The sequence below is a fragment of the Homo sapiens genome, chromosome 9 (assembly GCF_000001405.40).
Source record: "Homo sapiens chromosome 9, GRCh38.p14 Primary Assembly".
NCBI lineage: Eukaryota > Metazoa > Chordata > Mammalia > Primates > Hominidae > Homo > Homo sapiens.
The window spans coordinates 32,568,234-32,582,406 of record NC_000009.12 but is presented as its reverse complement, the minus strand read 5'-3'; the positions used below and the strand labels follow the sequence as shown (position 1 = coordinate 32,582,406).

The 14,173-nt window shown below is 40.2% G+C and overlaps 1 protein-coding gene across 3 annotated transcripts in view, besides 2 other annotated features; it reads left to right on the top strand.

The window, feature by feature from the left end:
• Positions 8,841–8,890: an enhancer, noted in NCBI's record as "active region_28266". NCBI's record gives its function as "activates an Ori minimal core promoter by ATAC-STARR-seq in GM12878 lymphoblastoid cells {active_cell/tissue: GM12878}" and the evidence as "EXISTENCE:reporter gene assay evidence [ECO:0000049][PMID:35858748]".
• Positions 9,161–9,700: an enhancer, noted in NCBI's record as "active region_28265". NCBI's record gives its function as "activates an Ori minimal core promoter by ATAC-STARR-seq in GM12878 lymphoblastoid cells {active_cell/tissue: GM12878}" and the evidence as "EXISTENCE:reporter gene assay evidence [ECO:0000049][PMID:35858748]".
• NDUFB6 (NADH:ubiquinone oxidoreductase subunit B6) overlaps positions 9,248–14,173 on the top strand; it is a 20,159-nt gene continuing 15,233 nt past the window's right edge. For 2 of the 3 annotated variants that reach the window (NM_182739.3, NM_002493.5), the window contains exons 1-2: positions 9,248–9,526; positions 11,355–11,447. In NM_182739.3, coding sequence (NP_877416.1) covers positions 9,347–9,526; positions 11,355–11,447 — 273 coding nt within the window. In that variant the 5' untranslated portion in view covers positions 9,248–9,346. The remainder of the gene's footprint in view (positions 9,527–11,354; positions 11,448–14,173) is intronic. The other variant, NM_001199987.2, reaches the window with a different exon arrangement.

Sequence of the window (14,173 nt, the reverse complement as noted above, 5' to 3'; positions counted from 1 at the left end):
GGATTTGTAAGAGAATGCCCTCGCTTGTGCATCTTCACAGATTTTTCTGATCAACATGAGCAAGTTTGCCTCCTTGTCCCCTTGAAAATAATAATGTCTTGTGTGGTTGGGTGAAGCTATATATATATATATTTTTTGTTTTGTTTTGTTTTGTTTTGTTTTTGCTAAAAAAAGAATCTTACAGGGAGATAAAGGGATTTCTGGAGGAATTAATTTTTTTTTCAATTATGTGGGACAAATGGTGCTTAAAATGAAGATAGGACAAAGGCTCTTAAATTTTTGACTGAACAATGGAAAGGGAACTTGGATGTGGAACTCCCATCTCCATTCCTGGTTGCAGACTCAGTCTGACGGGGAGGTCTTGCACTCAAAGCTGTCTTCTCTCCACAGCCTCTGAAATCCACGGCCTGTGTGCCCCAATTAGTACACTCTGCCAGGGGACAAATGAAGCACCCTACTGGCTTTTAAAAACATAGCTGGAGGTGTAGACCCTTATTAGACAGATCCAAAGTTTAAGACATAACCTTACTGACAGAAGACACCTCCTCATCTTATTTCCTGGCCCCATCTCTTCCCTGCCCACTGTGCTTTAGCTCCTTTGAGTTTTGTGGGCTGGTTACTGAGGCCTTAGATAAAATGCAATTTACCTGTATTTCTAATTTTTCAGCAAGTTAGAGTGCCCTCTGGTGGGAATGTCTCCAGTAGTTACCCAGGTCTTGCAGACTATCTGAATTTGTGAGTCCACATTTTCTGCTTGTGCTAAGCTGAACACGGTCTCTCACTGCTCCCTTTTTATTCAACTCAGCCTCATGAGTTTCACAGCCAGAGATAAGTGAGAAAGGATGGAAATGTGGTCATCAGTAGCCAGTGGTATATTTTTCTAAGCAATATTGATTTTATTTATGTTTATTTTCAAATGTGGTAGTGGTGGGGAGTGGGGAGGATGTAGTAATTTCCCAGAGTAAGCCAGAATGATGGTTCCAAATTCAAGAAATACTAAATGTATTTAACTCCACTCGCAAAGGAAACATTTGGGTTATCAAATGACTCATTGTGTAACTAAGTGTCCTGTTTTTAAAAGTTTTTCTCTCTCTCTTTCCTGCCCGTTCCTTGTCTTGCCTTTAACAATGAGATAATAGTCTTTGCTCTCACTCTTTCTCCCAGGCACCCCTTTGCACAGTGTTTCCCTTATCTAATTACGTGTTTGTTTAGAAGTTCCAGAGACTAAATCTTAAAGCAATTCAGTCTACTGTGGGATTCTCCCCCACCTGGAGATTACTTCAAGGCTGCAGTTAATTTGCAACCTGGCTGTCCCAGAGATGGCACTAGCCCACACACCAGATGGGGCAACAGCTCAAGATAGTCATCAGAACAAGTCACATAGGCTGACCCCTATCACCACTCCTGCATGCCCATCATACCAAACTCCCCTTTAGCCTTTACCCTTGACCTAGAAAGCTGAAACGGTTTCTTTAAGGCACTAGCTTTGGCCATTTTTCCACTGCTAGCTCTGGAATAAAGTAACTTTCCTTTAGCTGTAGTTCATCTTTGTTATTGGCTTTGCAAGTGGTGAGCAGCTGAGCCTGCACTCGGTAACAATTGGGAACCTAAATATAGTATTTCCTGTGATGTTTAAGCACTCAGGGGCTTACTCTCCCTTTAGTATCAATTGTTCAGATCTCACCATAACAAAGTTGAGAGTTCCAATGTAAGTAGTTTGCAAAATTTTAGTCCAAAATGTAATAAGACAGACTGAGGATTAGTAATAGTTTAAATACACAGTTTAGTTACTACTTCAAGGCATTTTTTTTTGGTGGGGGGTGGGGGGGCGGGTCTTAGTATGTTGCCTAGGCTGGTCTCGAACTCCTGGGCTTACAGAATCCTCCTGTCTCAGCCTCCCAAAGCAATGAGATTAGCCACTGTGCCCAGCCTCAAGGCATAATTAAAAAATTTTTTTATTTAGAATATTTTTAAATATTTACAAAATAGTATATGAGAGACTATAATAAGCCCCCATTTAGCTATCAGATAGCTTCAACAGTTGCCAACTTATTACTAGTCTTATTTCTCTATGCCTTCTTCCTCCTTTCTCAATTATTCAGAAGTAAACTTCAGACCTCTTACCCTTTCATCTATAAATATTTCAGAAGAGATCTCTAAGAGATTAGAACTTCCTTTCAAAAATATAACCACAAATCATCATACACAAAAAAATTAATGACAATTCCCTAATATATCGAGGTAATGTTTAAATTTCCCTCTGTCTCTTTTAATCTATGGATTCTCCTCTCTCTCCTTTCTTTTTACTCAATATATTTTATAAGAAACCGAATCACTTATATGCAGTTCCTACAATCTAGATTTATCTCAATGTATCATTTTGGTGTTGTATAAGGAGCTCCTCTGTTATTAAATAACTAGTTAGATCTAGAAACTTGATCAGATTCAGGTTCAATGTTTGGCAAGGCAACTTCACAGGCAATGAGGCAGCTTTCCACCAGGAGGCGCAGTTGGTCCCTTTTTGAGATGTTTGCAGCTATTGACGGATAAACCACTGCATTGATTTATTAATAAACTTTAACAGTTGCAAAATGGTGATATTCTAACTGTGCCATCCCCTTTTCTTTCATTAGCTTTTTAATGATTCTTTGAAGAAATTTCCCCTCATGAATCATTTTATTACTTTAAGATGCAATTTGTATAGAGAGCCTAGAAAAATGCTTGATTTTTTTTCCTTGCCAGTTTTCAAAACGAGTTAGTTCTTCTGAAGAATAGAGAGGAAAAACAAATTCAGTTTCTCACACTATAGTCTCACAACCCACTTCTGACACCAGAAGCAGGGGTGTTCTCCTCCCCTCCCCGTCCCCTGACCAGCCGACCTCAAGCAAGCAATCAATTCTGCAGGAGACACTAGCTGGGTGTCCTCTAATTCAATTCAGTTCTGACACTAACTACCTGGAGACAGTGTTGCAGGACAGAGAAATATGTTACAGGAAAGAGGTCCCAATCCAGACCCGAGAGAGGGTTCTTGGATCTCGTGCAAGAAAGAATTCAGGGCAAGTTCGCAGTGCAAAGTGAAAGGAAGTTTATTAAGAAAGTAAAGGAATAAAAGAATGGCTATTCCATAGTCAGAGCAACCCTGAGGGCTGCTGGTTGCCCATTTTTAATGGCTATTTCTTGATGATATGCTAAACAAGGGGTGGATTATTCATGCCTCCCCTTTGTAGACCATATAGGGTAACTTCCTGACGTTGCTATGGCATTTGTCAACCGTCATGGTGCTGGTGGGAGTGTCCAGTAAGGATGACCAGAGGTCAGTCTTGTCGCTATTTTGGTTTTGGTGGATTTTGGCCCACTCCTTTACTGCAACCTGTTTTATCACCAAGGTCTTTATGACCTGTATTTTGTGCTGATCTTCCATTTCATCCTGTGACTTAGAATGCCTTAACCATCTGGGAATGCAGCCCAGTGGGTTTCAGCCTCATTTTACCCAGCTATTTGAGATGGAGTTGCTCTGATTCACACACCTTTGACAATAGCATCAGAACCCACAGGTTGAGGGCTCAGCCCCACAAGAGTTCTTCCCACTTCAGATCTGAAGTAACAAGTTCTCACCCATATTTCTGTCCAATCGGCTATAAATTGGGTTTCTATGACCGCCCTGCTCTGGCTTTATTAATTTGTTCGGACAATTCACAGAACTCAGGAAAACACGTTTTCTGGCTTATTATTGTAAAAGATATTACAAAGGCTACAGAAGAACAGTCAGATGGAACAGGTGCACACAGCAAGGTATGTGGGAAGGGGTGTGGAGTTTCCATGCCGTCTCTGCCACCCTCCAGGAACCTCCATATGTTCAGCTATCCAGTCTTTTTGGATTTTTATGGAAGCTTCATTACACAGGCATGACTGATTAAATTATTGGCCATTGGTAATGAACTCAACCTTCAGGCCCTCTCTCCTCACCAAAAGTTGAGGTGTTGGGGCTGGAAGCCCCAACCCTGTAATTATGCCTTATTGTTTCCAGTGACCAATTCTTATCCTGAGGCTATCCAGGGAAAGCCAGTCATGAATCATTAGCATACAAAAAGACACATCACTTTGGAGATTCCAAGGATTTTAGAAGCTATGTGCCAGGAAATGGGAAGAAGACCAAATATCTGTTTTACAACATCACAGTTCCCTAACATCATCCAAAGGTGACAAGTGAGGTTTTAAAAAATCATTATGAATTCATGTATGTGAATATATTTGATATTTTTCAATCCACTGAAGTTATTATACTTGTCGATGCTCAAATTTTCCCATCTTTAACCAGTGGGAACCTATTTAAGTTGGCTCCCAAATCCTTTTGACATAACCCTACTGGCCTTTAAAACTTCCCTGCTTTCCGACATGATAAGATGTTCCAGGCTTTCTTTACGTTTCCTAATCCGACCCAGGCCTGGGGTTAGCCATTTTTCCAAGGCAGAGGTTCTCAAAGTTTGGCCCAGGTCCTCTTAAGAGTCCCTGTGATCCTTTTATGGGGTCCGTGATGTCAAGATTATTTTCATAGTAAGAGTTATCACTCAGTATCCATGTCCCCAAGGATACTGAGGGTCCCAGGACCCCTCTCAGATACCCAAATCCACAGATGCTCATCTCCCTTGATAAAAGAAAAACTGTAGACAAATTAAATTTAACAAAGTTTAATTGATCAAGGAAAAAGCAATTCGCAAATTGGGCCCTCAGAATCACAGCAAATTCAGAGAGTTATTTCTGCACAGTTGGAGAGATTTTAAGAATAGAAAAAGGAAACTGAAATACAAAAAAAAAAAAAAACACAACAGAAGTGAGGTACAGAAACAGCCAGATTGGTTACAGCTTGGCGTTTGCCTTATTTAGACCTGGTTTGGACAGTTGGCCACCTGTGAGTGGCTGAAGTATGGCTGCAGTGATTGACTGAGATGCAGCTATTGTTACAGAAGTATGTCTCCATTAGATTTTTCAGTTTGCTTATCTATTAAGTTAGGTTGCAATTCCTAAGTAAGAACTCCAGTATGCAAGTATGGAGACTTTCTCGGGCCAGATTTTAGTTTGGTTTAGCACCCTCATATAAAATGGGGTAGTATTTGCATATAACCTATGCACATCCTCACATATACTTTAAATCATCTCTAGGTTATGTAACTGAGTATCCCCATTTTTCTAAGAAAAAGAGAATGAGTTATTTTTTTTATTAGTTTTCTTCTTTTCTCTTCTGTTTCTTGCTATTCTCCACTTCCTACTAGCCCGTTTGAAATGCAATTATAACCTTTACCTCCCCTTCACCAGACACTCCCTACAGGGCAAGTTCATCTAACTTTGTACTCAGAAGCTCCAGAACAAACTCTCACCCACCAGGAGATTGCCTCAAGAGGTAACAGTCGATTTACAACCCAAAGTATACATGATGAGAAACTCTTTCCCACCGGGAAAGTTTTTGGCCATTTTAATAACTTATTTCTGCCCATGAAGATGCCAACTTGACTGCCTAGTAGATAAGGTGCCAAGCTAGCATGTGGACTTCCTACCCACTTGCTGTCTCCCCTGCCTTTCGAAAGTACCCACTTTCTGCTCCAAAAGTGGAGCAGTACCTTTGAGGCTGGAAGCCCATACTTCTTCCCCTAAGCTAGCTTTGGAATACAAAGTCACTTTCTTTATACCAGACCTCGCTCTTGTTAACTGGACTCTGCAAGTGTTGAGTGACTAAACCTGTGTTTCAGTTACAATTACTTATAATACCTAATACAATGTCAATACTCTGTCAATAGTTGTTAGGCTGTATTGTTTAAAATTCATATTACTTTTTATTGTTTTTTTTCCTGAATAGTTTCTATCTGTGGTTGGCTGAATATGTAATTGTGGAACCCACAGATACAGATGACTGACTGTTTGCCCTTTTTATTTTACCCTTATAAAGTCTCATTCTCTCACAAATATACATGGGGATTTTCAGAGGCTATACGATGTGTTACATTATGATTGAATGCAGAAGCAGTTATAACAATTCTGCTGTCATTTATGAAGCAAGACATTAAAGACATTTACAAAAATGTAAAACAATGGCACTCTTCTCACTAATTTTTTAATGAGTACATTGTTACTTTAAAATGTTTAATTTCTAATGCAGTAAACATCAATAGATTAACCCACATAAACAAAAGCTCTTTGGGATCTCCAACAATTTTTAAGAATTTGAAGAAGTCTTGGAAGCAAAACTTTTGAGAACTGCTGCTTCAAGCAGTCCTAGTTCCTTTCAGTGGAAAATGTACATGAGAGATCACAACCTAAGAACAAAAGATGCTCATGATTATTGGTTTGCCAATTTCTTTTAGGCCATTATCAACAGGTAGAGCTAAGACAAAATTATATACATTTTTAAAGATAAAATACAATATGAGTTCATACTGATTCTTCCTGTTCACAATTTGACTATAGGATTTTTACTTAAACACATACAATTTATATACATGTCTCCCCATACCAAAAAAGATCAGTTTTTACAACACTCACGTAAACAGTTATTTTCAGTGTCAGATTAACAATACCATGATCAACACCACTATCCTCAATATGATTATTTAAAACAGTTTAAGATTTTTTTTTTTTTTTTTTGAGACGGAGCCTCTCTCTGTCACCCAGGCTGGAGTGCAGTGGCGCGATCTCGGCTCACTGCAAGCTCCGCCTCCCAGGTTCATGCCATTCTCCTGCCTCAGCCTCCCGAGTAGCTAGGACTACAGGCGCCTGCCACCACACCTGGCTAATTTTTGTATTTTTAGTAGAGACGGGGTTTCACTGTGTTAGCTAGGAAGGTCTCGATCTCCTGACCTTGTGATCCACCCGCCTTGGCCTCCCAAAGTGCTGGGATTACAGGCGTGAGCCACCACGCCTGGCCAAGATTTTTTTTAAGTTGTTTTTTTTTTGTTTGTTTTTGCGGGTTGTCTCTCAGTGGATTTACAATAATTCAATGGTTTAAAGTTATAGTTGATCCTTGAAAAAAACAGGTTGAACTTCGAGGGTCCATCATACGTGGATTTTCTTCTGCCTCTGGCACCCCAAGACAGCAAGACCAACCCCTCTCTTTGCCTCCTTATGATTTTCTTAATAACAGTTTATTTTCTCTGGCTTACTTTATTGTAATAATATAGCATATAATACATATACAAAATGTGTGTTAATTGACTGTATGTTATCAGTAAAACTTCTGGTCAAGAGTAGGCTATTAAGTTTTTGGAGAGTCCAAAGTTATATGTGGATGTTTGATTGTGCCAAGTGGAGGGGATTGGCACTACTAACCCTAGCGTTGTTACAAGGGCTATTGTATTTAGAATGATGTGTACCTTTGAGATTATGCCACCAAGTGGACCAATTAAGAGCTACTGGTTTTTACTTGATTTTTATGGACTGCTTTTTGTAAATTTAATTTTGTTTTGTAATGATATTGTTAAAATTAAAACTTTAGAAAAATTAAATTTAGCAGAAATTAATTGAGCAATGACCAATTTGAGAATCAGGCAGCCCTCAGAACCAGAGGAGGTTCAGAAAGTATCGTTCCACAAAGAGGCCAGGCAGCACGCATAGAAAAAAAACAGAAATGAGATACAGAAACAGCTTGATTGGCTACAGGTTGGCCTTTGCCTTATTTGAACATGGGCTGATCAGTTGACCACCTGTGATGATTGGCTGAGACTCAGTTATTTGTTACAGAAGTATATTCCTAAGTTAGGCTGTGAGTTAAATTGCATACTAAGTTGGGTTGCAGTTCATTATATAAGGACTCAAAATACGGAGACATCTTTAAGCTAAATTTAATTTCACAATATGAAATATTTACTTGGTTCTAAAGTCAAATTTATGAAGTAAGATGTTTCCAGAGATGTCTAGATTCTATCCCTGTCTCCTCTATCCTATTTATTTCCTCCACCATAGGTAGCATCTTTAAAAACCTCAATTGTTTTCATTCCCATTATTTTGAAAATTTAAGAAAATATGTATATATATTGAAATTACCACCATCTTTCTCTTTTTGGGTAAAAGCATACTGTACAAATTCCTATCCATTTTTTTTCCACTTTGTAATGTATTCTGGAGATCACACCACAGATGTATATAGAGTTCTTCCTTATTACTTTTGACGATTGTATTAGCATTTCATTGCTTTGTTGTGTGAAAGTTTTTGGGAAGCCACTGTTTTGGACTAGCTTCACGCACTAGGCCCCAGCAGACCAGACCAAACCAGAATGGAGTCGTTTGTGCTAAGTACCACACAATCAAACTGAACTTTGAAATGGGCCAGTTTCCCAAAAAATAGGAAATTCCCTTAAGTCTGAGTCAGTGAAACAAGGAAGTTTCTTCTGCTTTAACCCTAAAAGTAACTTTGAAACGATGAGTCCACTTTTTGTTCGGTTTCTGCTTTCTTCAGCCCCTATTTGCCAATAAAACCAACCGCCTCTGCTCAGCTGATCAGAACACTCATTCTACTTTATAGAATGAGGTGTTTTTTGATTCTAGAATCACGAATAAGAGTCAATTAAGATTTTTAAACTAATTCGTTGTAATGCTGTCTTTTGACTGTTGTACTACAATTTATTCAAGCAGTCCTTTATTTAGGAATTTGGGGGTAATTTCCAATATTTTGGTATTATGAATCGTGCTGAATAGTCGTGCATGCTCTTTCATATTTTCACCACACGTATTTTTGGGTGAAAGCATGAATTCATCTATGCAATTTTGCTAGATATTAAGCTACTCTTTTCACTATTCCTGTACAGATGGAGGGACAGATGAGACAGCTGCCCAGGGCACTTCAGCAGTTACTGGCATAGCTGGGATTTGAACTGGGATGTAACTATTTTCATACACTCTCTAGGTCATTCCAAGGTGGGAGAGGCAAGCAAATAATTTTGAATCTGGCCAGCATATTCACTGAAACATTTATGCTTATCCTTCCTCCTCCCAGCATACAAGTTCTTCCTTAGCAAAACCTCCAGTCCTCTAATTTAGCATACTTTCGTCTAATCTGTCACTTTCCTCAGGCCCCACAACTACGAGTACTCCTTGTCCCCACCCGGTCCTAATTTGGTCGGGTATAGCGGAGGTGGGCGTAGAGAGAACTGGAGGTGGAGACCTTTGTGCATGCCCACACACTGCTTTCCTCGCGAGGAATCTGGGGCCCTTGCAGAGGCGGAACCAGGATGTGACGTAATAACCGCGCGCGGCGCTCGGCGTTCCCGCAAGGTCGCTTTGCAGAGCGGGAGCGCGCTTAAGTAACTAGTCCGTAGTTCGAGGGTGCGCCGTGTCCTTTTGCGTTGGTACCAGCGGCGACATGACGGGGTACACTCCGGATGAGAAACTGCGGCTGCAGCAGCTGCGAGAGCTGAGAAGGCGATGGCTGAAGGACCAGGAGCTGAGCCCTCGGGAGCCGGTGCTGCCCCCACAGAAGATGGGGCCTATGGAGAAATTCTGGAATAAATTTTTGGAGAATAAATCCCCTTGGAGGAAAATGGTGAGTGACAGACCTCTCCGGTCCCCCCCAACACATCCCACTGCTGCCGGCAGCCTGAACACTGAACGTCCGCTCCCTGCAGCCACACCAAGGACTGATAACGCTCAGTGCTCTGGGACACTGGCCAGTCCCGAGAGTCCTCCTGGAGTCTCGGGAGGCAGGAGTCCAGGAATATGTATGGCTTTGAGAGAATCATGCCTTTTACTGTCAAGTACAGTGGACGGGGGCGAATTTTAATACTTAGGTTTTCCAGGACGCTGCACGTTTGGTTCTCTTTTGACTGTAGAAATCTTCCCTCAGAATAATAACCAAGGACTCGCTAGAATTAAAATTCTGTGATTTAAGTATTTGAGGACACTTGTCTGACTTTTAAGTGTGAGGTTCTAGAGACCAAGTAACACAGTATCCAACCACCAGAGGGCACAGCCAGCCCCTAGCTGATAGTACAGCCCCATGTGATCCCCGTAAAAGACAGGGTCCTGTTGGTATGCCTTGTGAGTCACATTCAAGAGCTACCTTTCTAAACTACCGTTCTGTACTTTTAACACAGTGTTTCATTAAAAAAATCGCATTTTGGGCTTTGAAGAAAATCACTCATTCAAGAACTTTATTTTCAAGGCCTCTGGGTATTTTCTTGAGGACTGTTATGGATGATAAACATCTCAGAATTGCTTTCAGTTACCTGCAACACTTACTGATGACAGGATAATAGTAGTAACAATACTACGTAACACACGGGTGCTTGCTGTGTGCTTGGCACTCTACTGGGGGTTTTACATGTGTTACTTCATTTCTTTATTCCTGTAAGGTAGATATTCCTAATCCTCATTTTAAATGTGAAGAAACTGAGGCCTACAAAGCTTCAGTGATTTGCTGGTGGTCAGGGAGCTAGGAATTGAATATGAGTTCATATTGTAATCAACATGTATCTGATTCTTACTGTGCTACAAAGTCTAGTGCAATAGAATTGTTGAAAATTTTTCTGAGAAAGTGATATTGGATACTTATTTATGGTGGTAAAATTCAACTCTTCTCCCACCCTTTGTATCCCTGACATTATCGGAATATTGGCAGTCACTGATTTAAAGTTGACATCCCATCCATCAGCAAGTGATATAAGGAAGTAAATAAATAATAATGTGTCGAAGTTCACCTTACCTTACTTTAATTTATTCTTTTATAATCATATCTGTTATAATTCTTAGATTCTGGATTGTCCCTTCCTTGAATGGATAGGTGTTTTTTAATCAAGTTGGAAGACATGGGAAAGTTCCATTTTTAGTTCTTTTTTAAAATAGTGTTGCAGAGGGCATTTTGGAGTGAGTTTGGGACACCCCATCTTAGTATGTAAAACGTCCTTTTTCCAGCATTGGCGTTGTCAAGGTTGTCTGCCTTATACCTAAAATGATGTGAGTGTCATTGATCAATAAATAAGGGAGATGACTATACCTGAAAAATTCTGTAGGTTTGATTACTCTGGTTAAATACATTAAAATTATTCTTTCATTATTTTGCTATATTTTATCTTTAACAAACTTATAATAAGGATATTTTTGGAAGTCTTTAAAAAATCTATAAATGCCTTGTTATAGTCTTGCAAAATACTGCTTAAGCATTTTGGTCTGGACTTTGTAGGTATCTTCTAGCAGACTCTGCATTTACTAAGAATATTTGAGTAGATGAGGTTACCTACAGACTATAAGAAAATATGTGCCATTTAGAGTTTTGTAAAATAGTCATGGCATTGTTACATCATTGATGCCTTTTGTTCTGCCATAAATATAAAAAATGGGATATGTTTATTTTGTGTATGTGTTTTTCCCCCCAGGTCCATGGGGTATACAAAAAGAGTATCTTTGTTTTCACTCATGTACTTGTACCTGTCTGGATTATTCATTATTACATGAAGTATCATGTTTCTGTAAGTATGTCCTTTTCAGAATTCATTTTTAATATTGTCCAAAATTACTTTCTTTGTGGCTATCTTACCCTACTTAGTGGAAATAATCTGCCACTTATAAACAGATTTTGAAGTACTTTGAATTCTCTTAGGTAAAAGGTTTAATGAAAGTTACATAATTGGGTATAGTTTTTAAAAAATATTGTCACTAGTTTACAACTTGAAATGGATTTCCTCATAGAAATTAGTATTTAAGTGATAAGAATGTAGTGACCTAATAATACTAGGGTAAATTTGGAGTCATGAATAGGAAGGGAGAAAACAATTCTGCTCCTTTTTAAAAACCTGTATCTCGTATAAGGTAAAAATTCAAAATAGACAAAGCATATCTTTGTCATCACCCAATTTCTGTTCCCTTCATTTTATCTGATTCTTCACAATTTTTATTTATTTAGAACTCAGGATGTCCAGATGCCTGCACTTTTTCACTGATACAGATCTTGCATGGGCTGATGGAACTGAGCCAGTTGTGGTATTTTAAAGGCTTGGTCTGGTGCAGGGTGTTGGATCCCAGGCAGAATGAGAAGGGCATGCATTTTGGGAAGTGGCGTGGCAGAGGGAGCAGTGGTGACTGCGTAGCCTGAAGTGTTGGAGCACAAAAGAGTGAGGAGGGCATTCGTATACCAAGAGAGGGGTGTTAGATCCTCAGTGGGTTGCAGGGGAGGAGGGTGAGCACATCTGTTTGGGGAGCAACAGTGGCAACAGCCTAGTATAGGATATTGGTACCTGAGCAGAGGGAGGAGGACATCTGGAAGAAGGATGGTATGAGGCAGTGAGGCAAGTGGTAACTCAGAGCAAGATGTCAGAACCTGAATGAGGTGAGGCAGGTATTAATGCTGGGATGTGGTTGTGGTGACAGGAGATGGGTTATATATAGGGAGATTGGCCAAATACAGGCATACCTCAGAGATATTTCAGAATTGGTTGTAGAACAATGCAGTTCCAAAAGTATTCTTTGGTTCTAGACCACCAAAACGAGTTACACAAATTTTTTGGCTTCCTAGTGCATATAAAAGTTATGTTTACACTGTGCTGTGGTATAAGTGTGTAATAGCAGTGTAAAAGAACGATGTATATGCTTTAATTTAAAAATACTTTATTGCTGGGCCATGTGTGGTGGCTCCCACCTGTAGCCCTAGCACTTTGAGAGGCCAAGGTAGGAAGATTGCTTGAGGCCAGAAGTTCGACCGGCTTGGGCAACATAGTGAGACTCCATGTTTCCAAAAAAAAAGAAAAAAAAATAGCTGGATGTAGTGGTCCACACCTATAATCCCAGCTACTCAAGAGGCTGAGATGGGAGGATTGCTTGAGCCCAGGATTTCGAGGCTGCAATAAACTGTGATTGTGCCACTGCACTCTGGCCTAGGTGCCAGGTTGATATGCTGCCTTAAAAAGAAAAAACAGGCCGGGCACGGTGGCTCATGCCTGTAATCCCAGCACTTTGGGAGGTTGAGGCGGGTGGATCACGAGGTCAAGAGATCGAGACCATCCTGGCCAACATGGTGAAACCCCACCTCTACTAAAAATAAAAAAAATGAGCTGGGCATGGTGGCGGGCGCCTGTAGTCCCAGCTATTCGGGAGGTTGAGGCAGAAGAATCACTTGAACCTGGGAGGTGGAGGTTGCAGTGAGCTGAGATCGTGCCACTGCACTCCAGCCTGGCGACAGAGTGAGACTCCGTCTCAAAAAAGAAAAAGAAAAAAACAAAAACTTCATTGCTAAAAAATGCTAATGATCATTTGAGCCTTAGTGACTATGTATGATCTTTTTGCTAATGGAAGGTCTTGCTTCCATGTTGATAACTGCTGACTGATCAGGGTGATGGTTGTTGCAGGCTGGAGTGGCTGTGGCAATTTCTTAATATAAGATAGCAGGCGGGGCGCGGTGTCCCACGCCTGTAATCCTACCACTTTGGGAGGCCAAGGCAGGTGGATCACGAGGTCAGGAGTTCAAGACCACCCTGGCCAAGATGGTGAGACCCTGTCTCTACTAAAAATACAAAAATTAGCTGGGAGTAGTAGTGGGTGCCTGTAATCCCAGCTACTCGGGAGGCTGAGGCAGGAGAATCGCTTGAACCCGGGAGGCGGAGGTTGCAGTGAGCTGAGATTGCACCACTGCACTCCATCCTGGGCAACAGAGCAAGACTCCATCTCAAAAAAAAAAAAAAAAAAAATATATATATATATATATGCACACACACACACATATACATACACATATATATACATACGTATATACATATATAAGTATATGTACATATATACATATATATATATGTATATGAGACAACACTGAGGTTTGCCACATCGATTGACTTTTATTTTCACGAAAGATATCTCTGTAGCATGAGATGCTGTTTGATAGCATAGCATTTTACCCACAGTATAACTTTCAAAATTGGAGTCAGGCCTTTCAAACCATGCCGCTGCTTTATCAACTAAGATTATGTAATATTCGAAATTCTTTGTTGTCATTTCAACAATGTTCATAGCATCTTCACCAGGAGCAGATTCCATCTCAAGAAACCACTTTGTTTGCTCATCCAAAAGGAGCACCTTCTCATCTATCAAGCTTTATCATGTGATGGAGGCACTTCAGTCACATGGTCAGGCTCCACTTCTAATTCTAGTTCTTTTGCTATATCCACTACATCGAGTTCCTTCCTGCACCGAATTCCTGAACCCCTCA